The sequence below is a fragment of the Homo sapiens genome, chromosome X, assembly GCF_000001405.40.
Source record: "Homo sapiens chromosome X, GRCh38.p14 Primary Assembly".
Lineage (NCBI taxonomy): Eukaryota > Metazoa > Chordata > Mammalia > Primates > Hominidae > Homo > Homo sapiens.
Genome location: NC_000023.11, coordinates 75,565,922 through 75,590,584, shown reverse-complemented (window position 1 = coordinate 75,590,584; position 24,663 = coordinate 75,565,922). Strand labels below are relative to the sequence as shown.

The following is a 24,663-nucleotide window of genomic DNA, read 5'->3' as shown; positions in this document are numbered from 1 at the left end:
ATGTCATCTGCAAACAGGGACAATTTGACTTCCTCTTTTCCTAATTGAATATCCTTTATTTCCTTCTCCTGCCTCATTGCCCTGGCCAGAACTTCCAACACTATGTTGAATAGGAGTGGTGAGAGAGGGCATCCCTGTCTTGTGCCAGTTTTCAAAGGGAATGCTTCCAGTTTTTGCCCATTCAGTATGATATTGGCTGTGGGTTTGTCATAGATAGCTCTTATTATTTTGAGATATGTCCCATCAATACCTAATTTATTGAGAGTTTTTAGCATGAAGGGTTGTTGAATTTTGTCAAAGGCCTTTTCTGCATCTATTGAGATAATCATGTGGTTTTTGTCTTTGGTTCTGTTTATATGCTGGATTACATTTATTGATTTGCGTATATTGAACCAGCCTTGCATCCCAGTGATGAAGCCCACTTGATCATGGTGGATAAGCTTTTTGATGTGCTGCTGGATTCGGTTAGCCAGTATTTTATTGAGGATTTTTGCATTAATGTTCATCAAGGATATTGGTCTAAACTTCTCTTTTTTCGTTGTGTCTCTGCCCGGCTTTGGTATCAGGATGATGCTGGCCTCATAAAACGAGTTAGGGAGGATTCCCTCTTTTTCTATTGATTGGAATAGTTTCAGAAGAATGGCACCAGTTCCTCCTTGGACCTCTGGTAGAATTCGGCTGTGAATCCATCTGGTCCTGGACTCTTTTTGGTTGGTAAGCTATTCATTATTGCCACAATTTCAGATCCTGTTATTGGTCTATTCAGAGATGCAACTTCTTCCTAGTTTAGTCTTTGGAGAGTGTATGTGTCGAGGAATTTATCCATTTCTTCTAGATTTTCTAGTTTATTTGCATAGAGGTGTTTGTAGTATTCTCTGATGGTAGTTTGTATTTCTGTGGGATCGGTGGTGATATCCCCTTTATTATTTTTTATTGTGTCTATTTGATTCTTCTCTTTTTTATTCGACTTGCTAGCAGTCTATCAATTTTGTTGATCCTTTCAAAAAACCAGCTCCTGGATTTGTTAATTTTTTGAAGGGTTTTTTGTGTCTCTATTTCCTTCAGTTCTGCTCTGATTTTAGTTATTTCTTGCCTTCTGTTAGCTTTTGAATATGTTTGCTCTTGCTTTTCTAGTTCTTTTAATTGTGATGTTAGGGTCTCAATTTTGGATCTTTCCTGCTTTCTCTTGTGGGCATTTAGTGCTACAAATTTCCCGCTACACACTGCTTTGAATGCGTCCCAGAGATTTTGGTATGTTGTGTCTTTGTTCTTGTTGGTTTCAAAGAACATCTTTATTTCTGCCTTCATTTCGTTATGTACCCAGTAGTCATTCAGGAGCAGGTTGTTCAGTTTCCATGTAGTTGATCAGTTTTGAGTGAGATTCTTAATCCTGAGTACTAGTTTGATTGCACTGTGGTCTGAGAGATAGTTTGTTATAATTTCTTTTCTTTTACATTTGCTGAGGAGAGCTTTACTTCCAAGTATGTGGTCAGTTTTGGAATAGGTGTGGTGTGGTGCTGAAAAAAATGTATATTCTGTGGATTTGGAGTGGAGAGTTCTGTAGATGTCTATTAGGTACACTTGGTGCAGAGCTGAGTTCGTCTCCTGGGTATCCTTGTTGACTTTCTGTCTCGTTGATCTGTCTAATGTTGACAGTGGGGTATTAAAGTCTCCCATTATTAATGTGTGGGAGTCTAAGTCTCTTTGTAGGTCACTCAGGACTTGCTTTATGAATCTGAGTGCTCCTGTATTGGGTGCATATATATTTAGGATAGTTAGCTCTTCTTGTTGAATTGATCCCTTTACCATTATGTAATGGCCTTCTTTGTCTCTTTTGATCTTTGTTGGTTTAAAGTCTGTTTTATCAGAGACTAGGATTGCAACCCCTGCCTTTTTTTGTTTTCCATTTGCTTGGTAGATCTTCCTCCATCCTTTAATTTTGAGCCTATGTGTGTCTCTGCACGTGAGATGGGTTTCCTGAATACAGCACACTGATGGGTCTTGACTCTTTATCCAATTTGCCAGTCTGTGTCTTTTAATTGGAGCATTTAGTCCATTCACATTTAAAGTTAGTATTGTTATGTGTAAATTTGATCCTGTCATTATGATGCTAGCTGGTGATTTTGCTCGTTAGTTCAGGCAGTTTCTTCCTAGTCTCGATGGTCTTTACATTTTGAGATGATTTTGCAGCGGCTGGTATCAGTTGTTCCTTTCCATGTTTAGCGCTTCCTTCAGGAGCTCTTTTAGGGCAGGCCTGGTGGTGACAAAATCTCTCAGCATTTGCTTGTCTGTAAAGGATTTTATTTCTCCTTCACTTATTAAGCTTAGTTTGGCTGGATAGGAAATTCTGGGTTGAAAATTCTTTTCTTTAAGAATGTTGAATATTGGCCCCCACTCTCTTCTGGCTTGTAGATTTTCTGCTGAGAGATCCGCTGTTAGTCTGATGGGCTTCCCTTTGTGGGTAACCCAACCTTTCTCTCTGGCTGCCCTTAACATTTTTTCCTCATTTCAGCTTTGGTGAATCTGACAATTATGTGTCTTGGAGTTGCTCTTCTCAAGGAGTATCTTTGAGACATTCTCTGTATTTCCTGAATCTGAATGTTGGCCTGCCTTGCTAGATTGGGGAAGTTCTCCTGGATGATATCCTGCAGAGTGTTTTCCAACTTGGTTCCATTCTCCCCGTCACTTTCAGGTACACCAATCAGACGTAGATTTGGTCTTTTCATATAGTCCCATATTTCTTGGAGGCTTTGCTCGTTTCTTTTTATTCTTTTTTCTCTAAACTTCACTTCTCACTTCATTTCATTCACTTAATCTTCCATCACTGATACCCTTTATTCCAGTTGATTGCATTGGCTCCTGAGGCTTCTGCATTCTTTACGTAGTTCTCGAGCCTTGGTTTTCAGCTCCATCAGCTCCTTTAAGCACTTCTCTGTATTGGTTATTCTAGCTATACATTCTTCTAAACTTTTTTCAAGGTTTTCAACTTCTTTGCCTTTGGTTTGAATATCCTCCCGTAGCTCGGAGTAATTTGATCGTCTGAAGCCTTCTTCTGTCAGCTTGTCAAAGTCATTCTCCGTCCAGCTTTGTTCCGTTGCTGGTGACGAACTGCGTTCCTTTGGAGAAGGAGAGGCGCTCTGCTTTTTAGAGTTTCCAGTTTTTCTGCTCTCTTTTTTCCCCATCTTTGTAGTTTTATCTACTTTTGGTCTTTGATGATGGTGACGTACAGATGGGTTTTTGGTGTGGATGTCCTTTCTGTTAGTTTTCCTTCTAACAGACACGACCCTCAGCTGCAGGTCTGTTGGAGTACCCAGCCATGTGAGGTGTCAGTCTGCCCCTGCTGGGGGGTGCCTCCCAGTTAGGCTGCTCGGGGGTCAGGGGTCAGGGACCCACTTGAGAATGCAGTCTGCCCATTCTCAGATCTCCAGCTGCGTGCTGGGAGAACCACTGCTCTCTTCAAAGCTGTCAGATAGGGACATTTAAGTCTGCAGAGGCTACTGCTGTCTTTTTGTTTGTCTGTGCCCTGCCCCCAAATGTGGAGCCTACAGAGGCAGGCAGGCCTCCTTGAGTTGTGGTGGGCTCCACCCAGTTAGAGCTTCCGGGCTGCTTTACCTAAGCAAGCCTGGGCAATGTCGGGCGCCCCTCCCCCAGCCTCACTGCCGCCTTGCAGTTTGATCTCAGACTGCTGTGCTAGCAATCAGCAAGACTCCGTGGGCGTAGGACCCTGGGAGCCAGGTGTGGAATATAATCTCCTGGTGCGGCGTTTTTTAAGCCCGTCGGAAAAGCGCAGTATTCAGGTGGGAGTAACCCAATTTTCCAGGTGCTGTCTGTCACCCCTTTCTTTGACTAGGAAAGGGAACTCCCTGACCCCTTGCGCTTCCCGAGTGAGGCAGTGCCTCGCCCTGCTTCGGCTCGTGCAAGGTGCTCCCACTGTCTGGCACTCACTAGTGAGATGAACCCGGTACTTCAGATGGAAATGCAGAAAGCACCCGTCTTCTGCATCGCTCATGCTGGGAGCTGTAGACCGGAGCTGTTCCTATTCAGCCATCTTGGCTCGATACTCCCACTTTCTACACAACAAAGTATAAGTATTAGAGAACACTAACAAATACTTCATACTATGGAATGCAAAAAGGAGAATAGCATTCATTCATCATAAGTAGAATCTTGCTGGGCAAAGAATATAAGGAGGACCGAAATTTCATGAGACAATGATAAGGTGATTGCTAAAAGATGCATAATAACAGGTAAGAATAATCTAATAGAGAACTTTAAAATATCTATTACCTGGTGTTTGGAAACCAGAGTTATCTCAAAGAAAAACACATCTAAAAGTTCTCACAGAATTCTGTGAAGATTTTTTGCAGTGGAGGAAGTGGGTGTGAAGGGGGCAATGCATTTGCAATGAAATTTGACTTCTCCATGAGCAAGACATCCTTAATATATTTTTTAAAAAGTTATTTAAAAGGAATTCCTATTTATAACATTTTCCCACTAAAAATCCAAAGTTAAGACATTTTACTCATGTCAAGTATGCTACTCCTCAGCAATATTTTTGGTCACCTGCACTCACAATTTATAAAAAGAAATTTAGTTTATTGCTTCAAGGAAATAAAGGTTATCCACATTTTCCAAATTGTTGTAAAATCACTATAGAAAAAGTATTAAGGGCTGGGCGCGGTGGCTCATGCCTGTAATCCCAGCACTTTTGGAGGCCTAAGCAAGCAGATCACAAGGTCAGGAGATGGAGACCATCCTGGCTACCACGGTGAAACCCCATCTCTACTAAAAATACAAAAACAAAATTAGCCGGGCGTGGTGGTGGGTGCCTGTTGTCCCAGCTACTCTGGAGGCTGAGGTGGGAAAATGGCATGAACCCAGGAGGCGGAGCTTGCAGTGAGCCGAGATTGCACCACTGCACCCTAGCCAGGGCGACAGAGCAAGACTCTGTCTCAAAAAAGAAAAAAAGAAGAAAAAAAAGAAAAGAAAGAAAGAAAAAGTATTAAGAATAAAAATAGAATTATTAAATTCTAGTGACTTCCTAAATTAGATCTATTCAGTTTGCCTTATCTAACCCAGGTTAACCTACTGCCAACTTCCCACCTGCAAACATAGGCACAGGTATGGTCTTCTTCTGGAGTCCCTAGTGGACATGTGATAGCTAGTAACAAAAGTTGCATGAGAAAACTGAAGTTTAATACTTAAAATAACCAAGTGAATGAAACAAACCCGGAATAGAAAGTAAAGCCTCTAGAAGAGGCACTGCCAATTTTTAGCAATGTCTATGTATTTTAATCCTTGGATGTTAAAAATGTGATGTTAAGTAGAAATACTAGTTTGGGGAAAAATTATATCTAGTCTTTAACCACACAGGTTTTCTTTGGTTCACCTTAAAAAAAAGAATATTTTATTCAATTTAACATATAAGCAAACATATGTTCATTTATTTTCCTTTTGTTTCTACTCTCCTGCACTCTCTCACTTATTTGTTTCAGTAGACAAGAAATGCACCATATCCCCCTGCCTGGATGGGTGTTTTTGGAGAAGAACAAGCATATAGACTAAAATCCTCTGTTTGGAAACCAGCCCAATTCAAGGAGGGTTTTGATGCACTGTGGTGAATTTTTGGCAATGAGCGGGTCAGCAGCTTAATAGAGGTGAGAATTTGGGGAAAGAGTGGTCTCTCATCTCTTTTCTTTTTGAGGCACTCTGCCATTAATCTCTTCATGGCTTTTGGACAGTTACTCCGTACCTTACTGAGATCTGGAGATAGGTATCCTTGTCCCACCATAAAAATTATCTGGTCCCTGTTGTTGATGTTTGAATAAGGTAACTGTCCAGTCATCAATTCATACAGAACAATCCCAAATGCATATATATCTGACTGAAAGCTGTATGAATTTTTATCTTGCATTCTGATGACTTCTGGTGCCATACACAAAAAAGATCCAGACAACTGTTCAAACTGATGGGACCCACTCCATCAAGATTTCACTGTGGCTAGACCAAAATCACCTATTTCCACTGTGAGGTCTTCATGAAGAACTATATTATTACTCTTGAGGTCTCTGTGGATGACTGACTTGGCGTGTCAGTAATCCATGCCCTGTGCAGTCTGTTGTGCAATATCTATAAGTTTGATCATCTCAGATTTGGTCTCAATTATATGGAGAAGGTAATACAAGCTGGAGCCCTAACACCACTGGGTGACAATAGCCAGTTGTGGCTTTGTGGAATAGCCCATGAAGAGTAGGATATTCATGTGTTATGTTTTCCTGAGTACTCCTCCTTCATTTTGAAGGCTTCTACCTGGTGAGGTGTAGGTGCTGCCACATTCAACATTTTCACTGCCACAACACCATGCCACTTTCCCTTGTAGACTGTTCCAAATGATCCAGATCCAATTCTTTGTCCCACTGTAATCTGCCCATCAGGAATCTCCCAATCATCATTCAAGTCCTGTCTACCAAGTGTTTTCATTTGATTCCTGTCTTCTGAGGATGAAGATGACTTCCTTTCTCACTGAAGTCCTGGAGATTTCTGTAAGGCTTTCACGTTAGTGAGTGACCCAGGCAGGGGGTGTGGCAGACAAACCTGTGGTTGAGCCTCCAACACCACGAAATCCTTGGTCTCTGATCAAGTCATCAATATCGTCAGGTTCTATTGTGCTTATATGCACATTGGGAGCTGATGAGGACCGGTCTCGCCCAAATTGATTTCAGTGATCTTCATCTGCTGGTCGGAAGGGCTGTGGAATTGGAGTGGATTTTGAAGGAGACAGATTGGTGAGAATTTGGGGCCCAGTAGAATCTGAGGGGGGTGCCGAAGGAGATGATCCAGATGTAAGGGCAGTCTCTGCTAAGGAGGCCTCTTCCTGGGGTATTGAGTGGCGTTCAAAGAACTTGGAGAAAAACAACAAATCAAGATGGTCATAATTAACAAACATCAGTGGAACAACTGTACTACAACACTGGTGAAATTTATAACCACATGTTTGACAGCGGAAACCCTGGAAAAGCAGCTTTTGACAAAAGTCACAAAATGCTAAGGTGAAAAATGTTTTTCGTACAAAGTTGTGTGTTGTAAGTGGAACATTCTCCAACACTTCCACATGCAATTCTTCTCCAGTAAGCCAGGAAACACCAGTGTCCTGGTCAATTGTTTTCTTCTCTCCATCCTGAATTCTGTAAACAGCACCGCACTCTGGGATTAGACCTCTCATCATCAGTGCTTTCTTTAGACTGTCTCCGACTGTAACTCCACACCTTGCAGGTACCACTGTCCTCTGCTTGTTGGGCAGGAAGACTCTAACAATAGGTTTTTGTGGTGACTTGGGGTTGCTCCATGTCACATCTATGGGATTTCGGAAAACTGAAAGAGATAAAGGTTTTTTGAAAAACTGAAAGAGAAAAACTGAAAGGCTAAAAGAGGAAGAAGATTTAACGGTGTCCATTGATGCAGAGCTAGAAACAGAAAAATCAGTTCCGTTCCCCAGACATTCCAATAACTGTTGTTCTCTTTGTTGGAGTGTATCTAGCTTGCTGGTGTATTCCTCATAGGCCTCCAGATATATTGATGGTGGAATATGCTCCCCAACAAATTTGTATAATAGGGCCTCTATATGTTCCTGTGTCAACTTAATTGATTATTTGTTTGATATTCCATACTTTGTGGTATTTGTCCTACTGGTTCTTTCTTTTCTTCACTTCTTTGGGATTAATTTTTATTAATCATTTGTTCTCTTCTGTTGGTTTAAAAGTTAAAAGTCTGGTTTCTACATTTTTAGAAGATAACCTCCACGGGAATGGCAGGATCCACAGCCGAAGAGGCCGCGGCGCCAGCGCCGGCTTCAGGCTCCACGTCCCCGTTGAATAGAGCCTCACCGGGCTCCGCACTGCCACCACCGCCACTGCTCAGCACCGCCATCTTATCATATGTTTTTATTTATCTGGGATAAATGCCCCCAAATTCAGTTACTGTGTCATGTGGTAATTGCATGTTTACTTTTTAAAGAAACTTCCAAGCTGTCAAGGACAAGGCAGGTGAAGGCAGTCAAGGGCAAAGCAATAATAGCAATAACAATAATAATAATGATAAGGCAGACTCACTCCAAAAGGGAGAATACTAAGGATGCTGGACAAGGTCTTAAGATGGCACAGCTAAAAGACAAAATAAAAGCTTTATAGCTTTTTTCGTATGCTGATCAACAGTGCAGCTCCAGAAGAGTGAAGTTAAACAGAATGGTGAAATTCCTTTATTGCTCCTCCCCATACACTGACTACCAAAGCAAGATGACTTGCTACCTCAGTAACTATGATTCCACCTTTACTTAATAGCATTAAGGATGGCCGAACAGACTGCAACAGAGAGATATTAGGTTCTTCATTTTGTAGGGCTGGGGCTACAGAGAAAAATAAATAGCAAAGAGTCTTAGAAGCAAATACTTCCCCAAATCTCCCAGAATAGGCTATCCAGCTGTACTACCCACCTCCATTTTCCCAGAACTGGTAGAGCTTCAGGAGAACATGGCTTGAAACATGCCCCTAAATAGTAGGTTTTAAGGGCCTATACTACATTTAAATCATTCTATGTTAAGTATTTGAGACATTTACAAGTATAGAAGTTAGAAAAATTGGGTTTAAGTGGATAAAGTACCAGAGCAGGAAGTCAATGGAGTGTAATGGTTAAGGATGTGGATACTGACAGACTATGGCTGATATTCCTAACATACAAAGAAGTCTTAAAAATTGAAAGAATAAAACCAAAAACCCAATAGAAAAATAGGGAAAATACATAAACAGACAATTCACACAAAAGATATAAAAACTATCCTCAAACATATGAAAAGATGTTCAAACTCAGAATTAGAGAAATGCAAAGTAAAAATACACTGAGACACAATTTCTCACCTATCAGACTGGCAAAAAAAAATGACAACATATTCTGTTGGTGAAGCTGCGAGGAAACAGGCACTCTCATACGTTCATGGTGAGAAAGCAAACTGCTACAACACTTCTGGTGGCAAATCTGCAATACCTAATAAATCTACACATGTCCTTACTTTTTTAAAAAAAGTAACACCTTTATTGAAATAAAATTTACCTACTATACAATTCACCCATTTAAAGTGAATACACCCATACAATTTAATGATTTTTCATAAATTCACAGTTGTGTAACCATCACCACAATCAGTTTTACATCATTTTCATCACCTCTAAAATAAATTGCATTCACAATAGCAGTCGCTCCTCATTTCCCCTCATAGCTCTCCCCACCCCTATCACTGGGGTGGGGAGAGCAACCACTAATACCTACTTTCTGTCTCTAAATAGCAGAGAGGCATATGGGAAGATATAAGACTGAACATTCACAGCAATCATGGGGAGAATACTAGACTTGCACAGGTTATAAAATTGAGGATTCAAGCTATATTTACCTAAATTCCCAGGGAAAGGGAAGTTCTAAGTCACATCTCCTTAAAAGTGAATGACACTCTTGATTTTAGACCAGGTATACCACTCTCCCTTCTAGGTCAACCTCGAGAAATTTGCTTTTAAGAATAAAAGAGAAGCTCTTGAATTATGCCTTGTTGAGCCGTGGCATCCACATGATTCTAGAAAGAACATCAGAAGTTCTATACCAAGAAGCCCTCCAGACAATCAAGGAAGTTTAGCAGCTCTGGAGTTGCTAGATATTACTGATAGCTCTTTATCATCCTTTCATAATGACTACTCCATTAAATTACTTTTCCAGAAAAGGAAAGAGTTATACAGAAAATAGTTTTGCACTCCAGGAGCTAAAAACTTTTATCTCATAATATTGGCCTATGAATATCCAACCATTTACCCAGGCAAATTATTTCTCTGTTACTAATTTTCAAAAAAAGTTGGTCATGGCTAAAGGCAGCTACCCAATGTGAGAAAAGAAAGTTGATGATCAAGGCCATTACTGAGACATGAATATATCACATTGAAAAATCCCAAAATTTCATGGAGGTCTAATGTAGCTATCACAACTTACAGCATCAGAGGCCAGAAAAACTCAGTCTATACCAAGTGAGGTAGACTTTCTTTTATAGATAACTTTCCCTTTTCCTATTATCCTGAAGTTAAAACAGGCCCCCAATCTTAGGAGGTAGCAGAGGAATATGATTCTGAAAGATTATCTGGCCTGAGAACATTCTGATTATCAATTTCAGCTATAGCACATTAGATAAATGGTGAGCGATAAAGATTTAATTTAGCAGGCCTGAGACTGCTATTCTTAGAAGGGCCTAGTTACAAGGTTGGCCCTTAGCTGACATCTTCAACCTTGGTTCTGGAGTATTCTCAGTCAACAGATAACTTATTAGGGAGGCACACTGTAGATTATATGTGCAAGCTATATGATTTTTGCTGAACACCTACCTTCCTGCTGAATCCGGCAATTTGGCATGTGCCAGGCAGGGAGTGCTTGTGTGATTAGTCCCCAGTAAAAATCTTGGGTCCTGAGTCTCTAGTGTGCTTCCATGGTAGAAATCATTTCACACAAGTTGCTGCATTTTCATTGCTGGGCTAAATGTGCACTCTGTGTCACCCCTCTTAGAGAAGGAGAGCATACAAGGCTTGCACAGGGATTTCTCTAGACTTCACCTGTGTCTTTTTCCTTTATAATCTAGTTGTGTATCCTTATTGCATCACTAGAATAACTCTTAACCGTCCATAAAACTATGTGCAGGCAAGATGATGGAATAGAAAGCTCCACCAATCATCCCCATCACAAGGACACCAAGTTAACAACTATCTACACAGAAGAAAAAAAATACCTTCATAAGAACCAAAAATCAGGTGAGCATTCATAGTACCTGGATTTAACTTCATATTGTTGAAAGAGGCACTGAAGAGACAAAAGTCCTGAATTGCTGATGCTACCCCTCCTCCACTCTGGCAGCCACAGAGTGGTGCAGAGAGCTTCTCTAGGCACTGGGGGAAAAAGAACACAGCAGTTATTACCCAATGAACTCAGTGATGTCCAGTTAGAGCAGAAAGGAAAACCAGACCAAACTCAGCTGATGCCCACTTACGAAGGGAGCATTTAAATCAGACCTTGCCAGAGGAAAATTATCAATTCTAGAAGTCCAAACTTGAGTGCCTGCAAACCTCACCACTAAAGACAATAGAATCCTGTGTCCCCAAGTAAACTTGAAAAGCAGTCTAGGACATAAGAACTGCAACTCTTAGGTGAGTTCTAGTGCTAAATTAGGCCTGGAGACAGTGAACTGAGTGAGCACATGACATACTAAGACATCAGCTGGGGCAGCCAAGGGAATATTGCCATCACCCCTCCATAACTTCAGGCTGCACAGCTCATGGCTTCAAAAGAGACTCCTTCCTTCCACTTGAGGAGAAGAGAGAGAAGAGAGGGGAGAACTTTATCTTACATCTAAGATACCAGCTAAGCCACAGCAGGATAGGGCACTGGTCAGAGTCCTAAGGGCCCCATTCTAGGCCCTAGATCCCAGACATTTCTAAACACACCCTGGGCCAGAAGAGAACCTGCTGCCTTGAAGGAAAGGACCCAGTCCTGACAGCATTTATCACATGCCAACTGAAGAGCCCTTCGACCCTAAATAATGAGCAGTGACACCCGCCTTGGGTGAATGGCTAAGACTTGTTGGCTTCAGGTGAGACTCACAGCACATGACCAGCTGTGGTGGCTACAGGGCAAAACTCCATCTGCTTGAGAAAAGCAGAGAAAAAAGGAAAGGGGACTTTGTCTTTCACATTAGGTACCAGCATGGCCACAGTGGGGTAGAGCAATTCCAGGACTTGAATCTTGGACAGCATTTCTGGACCTGCCCTGGGCCAAAGGTGAGAATATTGTCCTGAAGGGTGAGTCCCAGGCCAGGGAGCATTCATAACAAGCTGACTTAAGAGACTTTGGGTGTTAAGGGAGTATAAGCAATAGTCTGGCAGTACTCTTTGTGGGCTGGGGTGGCAGTAGCTAGGAAATGAGGTTCCTTTGCCTTTGAAAAGGGGAGGGAAGAGTTTTTAAAAATGTGTTTTGTGGTTTGACTGCCAGCACAGTCACAAAGCAATAGAACACTTGGTAGACTTCAAAGGAATTTGACTGTAGTCCGTGAATTCCAAACAGCACTTCTGGACCCACCAGGGAATTGGGGGACCTTGCCTCCCTGAAAGGAAGGACACAGTCCAGGCTAGCTTTGCCACTTGATGATTGTAGAGCCCCAGGACTTTTGAGTGAACACAGGAAATAGAAAGGGAGGGGTCACAGCAGGCCTTAGGCTAGATCCAGCACTGGGCTGGCTTCAGGTCTGACCCAGTATAGCCATAGTGGTGGTGGCCACAGGGTTGCTTGTGCCACCCATTCCCAGCTTTAGGTGGCTTAGAAAGAGAGATTCTTTTTTGGAAGAAAGTAAGGGAAGAGAACAAGTCTCTGCCTGGTAATTCAGAGAATTCTTCCCCATCTTGTCCAAGACCATGAAGAGGATACCTCTATAAGTCGGTGAAAACCACAATGTTACTATATTTGGGGTGTCCCCTAGAGCAGAAGCAGCTTAGGTCATGACACCCAAGTCCTTTCAAATACTAGAAAACCTTCCCAAGAAGGGCAGCTACAAATAAGCCCAGAGTGAAGACTATAATAAACACCTAACCTTTCAATGCCCAGACAAAAAAGAACACCTACTAGCATCAATATCAACCAGGAAAATATGACTTTATCAAATGAACTAAGTAAGAGCCCAGGATGAATCCTGGAGAAACAGAGATATGTGACTTTTCAGACAAAGAATTCAAAATAGCTGTGTTGAGAAAAATCAAATAAAAGCATTCCTACAGGACTTAGATAATAACCTCAAAAGGACAAACTAAGAGTTATTGCCCTAAAACAGGAAGTAGAGAAATAGACAGGAATAGAAAGTTTATTCAAAGGCATAACAGAGAATTTTCCAAACCCAGAGAAAGATATCAATATCTAAGTAAAAGAAGTTTGAAGAATACCAAGCAGATTTAATCCAAAGAAAACTACCTCAAGACATTTAATAATCAAACTCCCAAAGGTCAAGGATAAAGAAAGGATCCTAAAAGCAGAAAGAGAAAAGAAACAAATAACATACAATGGAGCTCCAAAACACCTTGCAGCAGACTTTTCAGTGGAAACCTTACAGGCCAGGACAGAGTAGCATGACATATTCAAAGTGCTGAAGGAAAAAAACTTTTACCCTAGAAAGGTATATCCAGAAAAAATATCCTTCAAACATAAAGGAGAAATAAGGACTTTCCCAGACAAACAAAAGCTGAGGAATTTCATCAATACCAGACCTGTCCTATAAGAAATGTTAAGAGCAGTATTTCTTGCGATAGTTTACTGAGAATGATGATTTCTAATTTCATCCATGTCCCTACAAAGGACATGAACTCATCATTTTGTATGGCTGCATAGTATTCCATGGTGTATATGTGCCACATTTTCTTAATCCAGTCTATCATTGTTGGACATTTGGGTTGGTTCCAAGTCTTTGCTATTCTGAATAATGCCGCAATAAACATACATGTGCATGTGTCTTTATAGCAGCATGATCGCAAGAACAAAAAACCAAACACCACATATTCTCACTCATAGGTGGGAATTGAACAATGAGATCACATAGACACAGGAAGGGGAACATCACACTCTGGGGACTGTTGTGGGGTGGGGGGAGGGGGGAGGGATAGCATGGGGAGATATACCTAATGCTAGATGACGAGTTAGTGGGTGCAGCGCACCAGCATGACACATGTATACATATGTAACTAACCTGCACAACGTGCACATGTACCCTAAAACTTAAAGTATAATAAAAAATAATAATAATAATAATAAAAAGAGCAGTATTTCAACCAGAAATAAAAGGACAATAATGAGCAATAATCATCTGAAAGCACAAAACTCACTGGTAGTAGTAAGTACACAGAAGAACACAGAATATTATAACACTATAACTGTGGTGTGTAAACTACTCTTATCCTAAGTAAAAAGACTAAATAATGAACCCATCAAAAATAATGACTACAACAAATTTTCAAGACATAGCCAATACAATAAGATATAAATAGAAACAACAAAATATTAAAAAGCGAGGGACGAAGTTCAACCATAAGGTTTCTACTTGTTTTATTTTGCTCATTTGTTTGTTTATGCTAACAGTGTTAAGTTATCAGGTTAAAACAATGGGTTGTAAAATAGTATTTGCAAGCTTCATGGCAACCTCAAACCTAAAAACATACAATGGAGACATAAAACATAAAAAGCAAGAAACAAAATCATATCACCAGAGAAAATCCCCTTCACTAAAGGAAGACACAAAGGAAAGAAGGAAGGAAGAAAAGACCACGAAACTACTGGAAAACAAATAACAATATGGTGAAAGTAAGTTTTTACTTACCAATAATAACATTGAATGAAAATGGACAAAATTATCCAATCAAAAAGACACAGACTAGCTAAATAAATAAGTAAAAAGACCCACTGATGTGTTGTCTACAAGAAACACACTTCACGTATAAAGACACACATAGCCTGAATATAAAGGGAGAGGAAAAAGTTATTCCATGTCAATGAAAAAAAAAAAAAAAAAAGTAGGAGTAGCTATACTTATGTCAGCCAAAACAGATTTCAAGACAAAAGCTATAAGAAGACACAAAGAACATCACTACATAATGATAAAGGGGTCAATTCAGCAAGAGGACATAATGATTATAAGTATATATGCACCCAACACTGGAACACTCAGATATATAAAGCAAATATTACTAGAGCTATAGAGAAAGATAAGACCTGGTACAATAATAGCTGAAGACTTCACCACCCCACTTTCAGCACTGGACAAAGCTTCCAGACAGAAAAATCAACAAAGAAATATCAAACTTCATCTGCACTATAGACCAAATGGTTCTAATAGATAATTACAGAACATTTCATCCAATAACTACAGACTACACATTCTTTTCCTCAGCACAGGGATCATTCTCAAGGACAGACCATATGTTAAGTCACAAATCATAATACATTCAAAAACACTGAAATAATATCAAGTAGCTTCTCTGAAGACAGTGGAATAAAACTAGAAATAAATAACAAGAGGAATTTTGGAAATGATACAAATACATGGAAATTAAACAATATGCTCCTAAATGACAAGTGGGTCAATGAAGAAATTAAGAAAAAAAATGAAAAATTTCTTGAAATAAATAATAATGGAAACACAATACACCAAAACCTATGGGACACAGCAAAAGCAGTACTCAGAGGGAAATTTATAGCTATAAGTGCCTACATCAAAACAGAGAAAAAACTTCAAACAAAAAAATTGATGATGCGTCTTAAAGAACTAGAAAAGAAAGAGCAAACCAAACTCAAAACTAATACAAAAAAAGAAATAACAAAGATTAGAGCAGAAATAAATGAAATTGAAATAAAGAAAACAATACAAAAGGTCAATGAAACAAAAAGTGGCTGTTTTTGAAAAGTTACACAAAATTGACAAAGTTTTACCTAAACTAAGAAAAAAAGAGAGGAATTAAAGTAAATTAAATCACAAATGAAAAAGAAGACATTACAACTGACACTGCAGAAATTCAAAAGATTGTTAGAGATTCAAAAGATTGTTAGTGGTTACTAGGAGTAACTATATGCCAATAAATTGGAAAATCTAGAAGAAATAGGCAAATTCCTAGATACATACAAGCTATCAAATGTTTTTTACCAAATGTTTAAAGAAGAACTAATACTAATTCTACTCAAACTATTCCCAAATACAGAGGAGGAGGAAATACATCCAAACTCATTCTATAAGGCCAGTAGTACGATGATACCCAAACCAGAAAAAGACATTAAAAAACAAAAAAAAAAACTACCGGACAATATCTCTGATAAATACTGATGCAAAAATCCTCAAACAATACTATCAAACTGAATTCAACAATACATTAGAAAGATCATTCCTCATGACCAAGTGAGATTTATCCCTAGGACGCAAGGATGGTTCAATACACACAAATGAATCAATATGGTATATCATATCAACATAACAAAGGATAAAAATTATATGAGCACTTCAATTTATGCTGAAAAAGTTGATAAAATTCAACATCTCCTCAGGATAAAAACGCTTAAAAAATTGTGTATAGAAGGAGCAGCACACCTAAACACAATAAAAGCCACATATGACAGACACACAGCTAGTATCATACTGATCCTAGCTAGAACAATCAGACAAAAGAAAGATATAAACAGCATCCACATTAGAAAGAAAGAAGTCAAATTATCCTTGTTTGCTATGGTATAATCTTATATTTGGAAAATCCTAAGACTCCACAGGAAAACTGTTATAACTGATAAATTCAGTAAAGTTTCAGGATACAAAATCAACATACTAAAATCAGTAGCATTTCTATATGCCAACAGTGAACGATCTGAAAAAGAAATTTAAAAAGTAATTCCATTTACAATAGCTACACATGAAATTAAATACTCAGAAATTAACTCAACCAAAGAAGTGTAAGATTATTATAATGAAAACTATAAAACACTGATGAAGGAAATTAAAGAGGACACAAAAATATTGAAAGATATTCAATGTTCATGTATTGGAAAAATAGTATTTTTTAAACGTTCATACTACCCAAAGCAATCTACAGATTCAATGCAATCCTTATCAAACTACCAATGACATTCTTCACAGCAATAGAAAAAAATTCTAAAACTTATATGGAATAACAAAAGACCCAGAATAACCAAAGCTATCCAAAGAAAAATGAACAGAATCGGAGGAATCACATTATCTGACTCAAATTATACTACATAACTATATGACTCAAATTATACTACATAACTATAGTAACCCAAATAGCATGGTACTGGCATAAAAACAGACATGCAGACAAATGGAACAGAATACAGAACCCAGGCACACATCCACCCACCCATCATTGAAGTCATTTTTGACAAAGTTACCAAGAGCATACACTGAGGGAAAGACAATCTTTTTGATAAATGGTGCTGGGAAAACTGGATACCCATATGACAAAAAATAAAACTAGACCCCTATCTCCTGCCATATACAAAAATCAAATCAAAATGGATTAAATACTTAAATCTCAGATCTCAAACTATGAAGCTACTACAAGAACACATTGAATAAGATCTCTAGGACATTGGTCTGGGCAAAGTCTTCTTCAGCAATACCCCACAAGCACAGGCAACCAAGTCAAACATGGACAAAAGCTTCTTCACAGTAAAGGATATGATCAACAGAGTGAATAGACAACCCACAGAATGGGAGAAAATATTTGCAAACTACCCATCTGACAAAGGATTTATAACCAGAATATATAAGAAGCTCAAACAAATCTACCGGAAAAAAATCTAATAATCCCATCAAAAAATGGGCAAAATATTTGGATAGACCTTTCTCAAAAGAAGACATACAAATGGCAAGTAGGCATACGAAAAGATCATTAGAGCAATGCAAATCAAAACTATAATGTGATATCATCACATCCCAGTTAAAATGAATTATATCTAAAGACAGGCAATAACAAATGCTGGTGAGGATGTGGGGAAAAAGAAAGCCTCATATAGTGTTGGTGAGAATGTAAATCAGCACAACCACTATGGAGAACAGTTTGGAGGTTCCTCAGAAAACTGAAAATTGAGCTACCATAAAATCCAGCAATCCCACTGCTGGGTTATTGCAGGATCGGGCCAGCAGCCCGCAATGCAACGGGGCTCTTTCTTTGTTCCCAGACAGATCGGCAGGTCAAGAAATAATAGACACACACAAGATAGTGAAAGCTGGGTCCAGGGGGGTCACCGCCTTCTGGTCCCACGATGCTGCCAATGCACTGGATATACCAGCATTTATTATTAAGTTTAGTGAGGGTGGGGGTAGGTTAGTGAGAGATTTAGGGTCATTTGATTATGATGTGAGATGGTCACATGGGGATGAAGTAATTCTCTAACATAACATCTGTATGCAGAAGTACAGTATACAGAGATAAGAATTTACAATATAGTGTGTGTATCAGTAATTTCTAACAGAACCTTAAAACTGAAACACAGTCTTTCCATAACCTATGATTAGCAAGATATTTATCAGCAGTAACAGTTGCAGCAAAAGCTGGTTACAAACAATCCATAGAAACAGGACGTGAAGCTAGACAACTGGTTAGACCAGAAATTCTCAGAAGGGAGTATGTCTTAACCCTAAAGAGGCCTAGAAGAGCCATGGCAAGATGAAGGCGTTTATAGCCCTACCTTATCCATATGAAAAGGCACCCCTCATGTGTCCATTTATAGGCCCTCCACAAGGGTCGCAATCCATTCCCAGAGCTATGAACATCTGCTTTTCTGGGATAGGAATCTTGGTGATATGAAACCTCCCTGACTGCACGTCCATTCATAGGCTCTCTGCAGGAGGAAGCACATCACATGCTGTTGGCTCATTCTGGCAGTCCAACCTGGCATTGTCTTTACACAATCCTGCATGCAATTTTGTATTTACAATAATCAGGAGCATTTCATCTTTTATTCCATAGCAATAGTTTCAGGGGGTCTCCCTACACTGGGTATATACCCAAAGAAAGGAAATCAGTATATAAAAGAGATATCTGCACTTTTTGTTGCAGCACTTTTTACATTAGCTAAGACTTAGAAGCAACCCATGTGTCCACCATCAGATGAATGGATAGAGAACATTTGGTACATAAACACAATGGAGTACTATTCAGCCATAAAAAAGAATGAGATCCAATCATTTACAACATAGACAGAACTGGAGATTACTATGTAAAGTGAAATAAGCTAGGCACAGAAAGGCAAACATCACATGTTCTCGCTTATTTGTGAGATCTAAAACTCAAATCAATTGAACTCATGGATATAAAGAATAGAAGGATGGTTACTAGAGGCTGGGAAGGGTATGGGGGCTGAGGAGGAGGTGGGGATGGTTAAAGGGTACAAAAAATATACGATAAATAAGACCTGCTATATTTAGCACAATATAAGTCTTGTATATTTTTAAATAACTTAAAGAATGTAATTGGATTGTTTGTAATTCAAACGACAAATGCTTGAGTAAATGGATAGCCCATTCTCCATGATGTGCTTACTTCACATTGCATGCCTGTATCAAAACATCTCATGTACCATATACATGCATACATATATGTGTGTGTGTGTGCATATATATATATATATATATATATAAATACACACTATGTCCCCACTTTTTTTAAATAATAAAAAGATTTATAAAAGACTATATGCAGAGCCCTGTGTGTCTTTCTAGCAAATCACAAAACACGGGGATAATCTTGGAAACTTCTCACATAACATGCTTATTCAACTAACTACTAGCAGCTAGTCCCAATGTTCAAAGAGTGTTCTATGTCATAAAAAGAGTAGCCTAAACTTCAGGTACGTGGTTCTTCTTCACTACCTTAAAAAGCCACTGCAGCCCATTCAAAACTCTTAACATGGCTAGTAAGTGAAAAGAAAATCATTCATTCGTGCAAAAGATATTTATCAAGCACCTACTATATGCCAGGCATGGTTCTTTTAGACTGAGGACACAGAGTGTTTATATGGACAGGCACTGCAATCCCAAATGTATTATTCTATCCTATCTTGACCACCAAATTCTCCATTAAATACCATTTCATTGTACTTCAACATGGATCTTTCTCCTTCTTAAAGATATGATACCATATTGGAAGTGGTAGAATCCTCATTAAGATGATAGGTTTTATCCCCTTTCCCGAACTCCCATTCACAACTAGTATTGCCACTTTGTTTATCAAAGAAGTGTCTCATTTCCATGAACTTCATAAAACCTGAAAGTTGACCAAAGATCTCACTTAACATCCAGGTTCTAAAAAGCACTATTGAGAGACTTCTATAACACTGACCCACAATTTCCCCCATACTTAATATTAAGCAATACTACAACCCTGTCAGGCCCCATAGTACCCAGAAGGGATAAAAACCACCCAAGAAGATATACTATAAGACAGCTGAATAGCTCCATGGGAGATATAAATGTGTGGCATGCTGCCTTCTCCTTTTCAGACCTGTCATCATTATCTAACATTGACAATAATATTTGTGGCTATTGAAAAACCATGCCAGCCTTTCAAGTTCCAATTGCTTCCCACCCAAACTATATTAATATCTATTCCACCACTCCCTGCTAGGTCCTACCTATCAATGCCATCCCATGCCTCTCCAACTGCCTAGGAAACTTCATATGGGAAATCAGAATACATAGTGAAATAAGTATTTGACTGCCATTGATACTAATCAGCTCCAATACTTAGCACAATTGGACAGATATCAGCTAGAAGAGCAGTTATAGGAGCTTTCCTGCTACCACAAAACATTTTAAAATATGTCGGAATTTTCCTTCAGGAAAATCTAGGAACAGTGTGCACCAACTCAGTAAAGGGTTATGTCTACCATTTTTCTGTTAATCTGACTGACCCACATAAGTATCATACATTGGCTGACTCATAAACCTAAGCTACATATACTAACAGGCATTTTAGTAATCACCTCAGACCTCTCACACCACCTCTAAAAGCATATTCTCATTCTCTCGTTCTTTCCGACTACACCAACAACCCACTCCAGTTGTTGCTGCCATTGATTCCAAGTTGTCTGCATTTATTCTTGCTCTCATCTTTTAATCTCCCTGGTTCTGGATGTCTGGCTTTGTCTCAGCTTCAAATTCCTGCCTCTAGCCTTCCTTGAGTTGTAATAAACTTCAATCAATCCCCCCTCCTCCTTAACCATCATTTTTCCTAGATTGTTTCTTTTTTTTTTTTTTTTTCAGATGGAGTCTTGCTCTGTCGCCCAGGCTGGAGTGCAGTGGCGTGAACTTGGCTAACTGCAAGCTCCGCCTCCCAGGTTCACACCATTCTCCTGCCTCAGCCTCCTGAGTAGCTGGGACTACAGGCGCTCGCCACCACGCCCGGCTAATTTTTTTTTTGTATTTTTAGTAGAGACAGGGTTTCATCGTGTTAGCCAGGATGGTCTCGATTCCCTGATCTCATGATCTGCCTGCCTTGGCCTCCCCCGCTCTGGCTTTCCTACATTGTTTCAACTCATTCTGTTCTCTGGTTTGGTCACCCCAAGGTACCTTGGATGAAAACTCTCTGCTTCTACCTTGGGCCCACTGAGACTTCCACCGCCAGCCTCACCAATATCCATCCATTTTCTTACAAAGAATGGAAGAGGCTTTGACCATCTAGTGCTGATGTTTATAGTTGTGCTCTTTGGAATTTGAATCTTGTTTTTTTTCTAGACCAGGGTTGGCAAACTAACCATAAAAAATCTGATAGTAAAAAAAAAAATGGCTTTGGAAATCCAGCCTAACATGTAAAAATGTTAGAATCATCACTCTGTCCTAAGAACAAGTAAAAAGCAAAACAAACTGAAGTTAAAAAGAGTATAACTAATATTCTAAGAAAGCAGATAAAGTGGAATCATGTAAAATGCTCAATCAAAACCATAAAATGTAGAAGAAAGTGAAAGGCAAAAATAGAAAAATAAAACAGGGTCAACAAACACAAAACAGTAACAAATATGGTAAATATTAATCTGAATATATCAATAATAACTTTGAATGCCAATAGTCTAAATATTCCAATTAAAAGATTAAAAAATTGTCAGATTAGATCAAAAAGCAAGACCCAACCTGTTTATTCTCTAAATAAATGCACTTTAAATACAAACACACAAATAGATTAAAAGTAAATGAATAGAGAATAATACACTACTCTCATACTAATCAAAGTAAAATGAAAGTAGCTATATTATTTCCCGACACAGCAGACTTCAAAGTATGGCAAACTGTCAGGGATAATAAAAAGCATTACATAATAATAAAACTGTCAATTCTCCAATAAGATATAACAATCCTTAATGTGCATGTACCTAACAAAAATGTGCCTAAATATGTGAAGCAAAAACTGATAGAATTACAAAGAGAAATAGATGAATCTACTATTACAGTTGGAGATTTCAACATTGTTCTATCAATAATAGAACCAGGAGTGATGTCAGTAAGAAGGCAGACTAGGACGTGCCAGCCCTCATCCTCTAACAAAAACAATAATGTAAATATCCATAGACAAAAATATCTCTGGGAGTGCTCCTGAGTACAATAACAAATCTGTAGCAAACCAGCGGAACACAAAAACTAAGGATGGCCACATAGAAAAGGGTAGGAAGAATTTTATCCTTGTCCTCCTGTACCCCAGGCTAGCATAGCTCAGTACAAAGAGTAATCACCTCAACCATAAGGTCTCCAGAGGGGAAATGAAAGCAAGAGAACCTCAGCAGCCCTTGCCACTACCAAGGACCTCTGCAGCATTCACTGCCGAGGACTTCTACAGTCTTTGCCAATGCAGACCCCACCATCCAGAGTTGCTTGGACTCTACACCACTGCATACTCCTAGAGCTGCAGCTGGTGTGCACTCTTCTAGAGCCAGTAACACAACACCTGTCCCCAAGCCTTGGCTCCACCACATGCACCCACACCCACACCTCAGACCTGTTGCCTCTGTATGCTCCTGCACCTGGTGCCCCTGCACACCCCCATAATTGATGTCCCCTTGCAAACCCAGACCTGGTTCTAATCTGGCATTGATATGCACCCTACCCAACCAGTACCCTCATACCCACTTGCAGGAGAAAATCTTTCCCTATAGAATCTACTCTGTAAAGGCTTCAAGAAGTGACTTCTTCAAATGTACAGAACACAATGCAAGGCTACAAGGAATATGAAAAATCAGAAAACATGATCCCCCGCCACCAAAGGAACATAATAAATTTCCAGTAAACAACTCAAAACAAATGGAGATCTATGAAATTCCCAAAAATAATTCCAAAAATACTCATTACAAATTCACAAAAGCCAGAGACTGGCTGAATGAATTTTAAAAAGTAAGATCCAGTGAAATGCTATATATGAGATTCACTTTAGTCTTAAGGACACATATAATGAAAGCAAAGAGATAGGAATATATATCCCATGTAAATAGTAACTAAAAGAAAGTAGGGGTAGCTACACTTAATCAGACAAAATGGGCTTCAATTCAAAACACTTTTTGTCAAGAAACAAAAAGGTCACTATAAAATGATGAGGATCAACTTGACAGGAAGATATAGCAGTTATAACTAAACCTGGCCTTGTCTCTCTATTTATCAAAAATATTCTTAAAAAATAAAAGAATGGGGGGAGGACCCAAGATGGCCGAATAGGAAGAGCTCCGGTCTACAGCTCCCAGCGTGAGCGATGCAGAAGACGGATGATTTCTGCATTTACATCTGAGGTACCGGGTTCATCTCACTAGGGAGTGTCAGACAGTGGGCGCAGGTCAGTGGATGCCTGCACCATGCGTGAGCCGAAGCAGGGCGAGCCATTGCCTCACTCGGGAAGCGCAAGGGTTCAGGGAGTTCCATTTCCTAGTCAAAGAAAGGGGTGACAGATGGCACCTGGAAAATTGGGTTACTCCTACCCAAATACTGCGCTTTTCCGACGGGCTTAAAAAACGCCACACCAGGAGATTATATTCCACACCTGGCTCCCAGGGTCCTACGCCTACGGAGTCTTGCTCATTGATACCACAGCAGTCTGAGATCAAACTGCAAGGCGGCAGCGAGGCTGGGGGAGGGGCGCCCACCACTGCCCAGGCTTGCTTAGGTAAACAAAGCAGCCCAGAAGCTTGAACTGGGTGGAGCCCACCACAACTAAAGGAGGCCTCCCCGCCTCTGTAGGCTCCACCTATGGGGGCAGGGCACAGACAAAAAAAAAAGACAGCAGTAACCTCTACAGACTTAAATGTCCCTGTCTGACAGCTTTGAACAGAGCAGTGGTTCTCCCAGCACACAGCTGGAGATCTGAGAACGGGCAGACAGCTTGCTCAAGTGGGTCCCTGACCCCTGACCACCGAGCAGCCTAACTGGGAGGCACCACCCAGCAGAGGAAGACTGACACCCCACATGGCAGGGTACTCCAACAGACCTGCAGCTGAGGGGCCTGTCTGTTAGAAGGAAAACTAATAAACAGAAAGGACATCCACACCAAAAACCCATCTGTACGTCACCATCATCAAACACCAAAACTAGATAAAACCACAAAGATGGGGAAAAAACAGAGCAGAAAAACTGGAAACTCTAAAAAGCAGAGCACCTCTCCTCCTCCAAAGGAACGCAGTTCCTCACCAGCAACGGAACAAAGCTGGATGGAGAATGACTTTGACGAGCTGACAGAAGAAGGCTTCAGACGATCAAATTACTCCGAGCTACGGGAGGACATTCAAACCAAAGGCAAAGAAGTTGAAAACTTTGAAAAAAGTTTAGAAGAATGTATAACTAGAATAACCAATACAGAGAAGTGCTTAAAGGAGCTGATGGAGCTGAAAACCAAGGCTCGAGAACTACGTAAAGAATGCAGACGCCTCAGGAGCCAATGCAATCAACTGGAAGAAAGGGTATCAGCAATGGAAGATGAAGTGAATGAAATGAAGCGAGAAGTGAAGTTTAGAGAAAAAAGAATAAAAAGAAACGAACAAAGCCTACAAGAAATATGGGACTATGTGAAAAGACCAAATCTA

The 24,663-nt window shown here is 39.7% G+C and overlaps 1 long non-coding RNA gene and 1 pseudogene across 10 annotated transcripts in view; both read right to left on the bottom strand.

The window, feature by feature from the left end:
* LOC107985664 (uncharacterized) overlaps window positions 1-24,663 on the bottom strand; it is a 270,484-nt gene that overhangs the window by 203,026 nt on the left and 42,795 nt on the right. Inside the window, exon 2 of one of the 10 annotated variants that reach the window (XR_001755889.2) lies at window positions 10,847-10,964. The exons of the other annotated variants lie outside the window; for them this stretch is intronic. This is a non-coding gene — a long non-coding RNA (uncharacterized LOC107985664). The remainder of the gene's footprint in view (window positions 1-10,846; window positions 10,965-24,663) is intronic. 10 annotated transcript variants of the gene reach the window in all.
* BRAFP1 (BRAF pseudogene 1) lies at window positions 4,668-7,931 on the bottom strand (annotated as a pseudogene).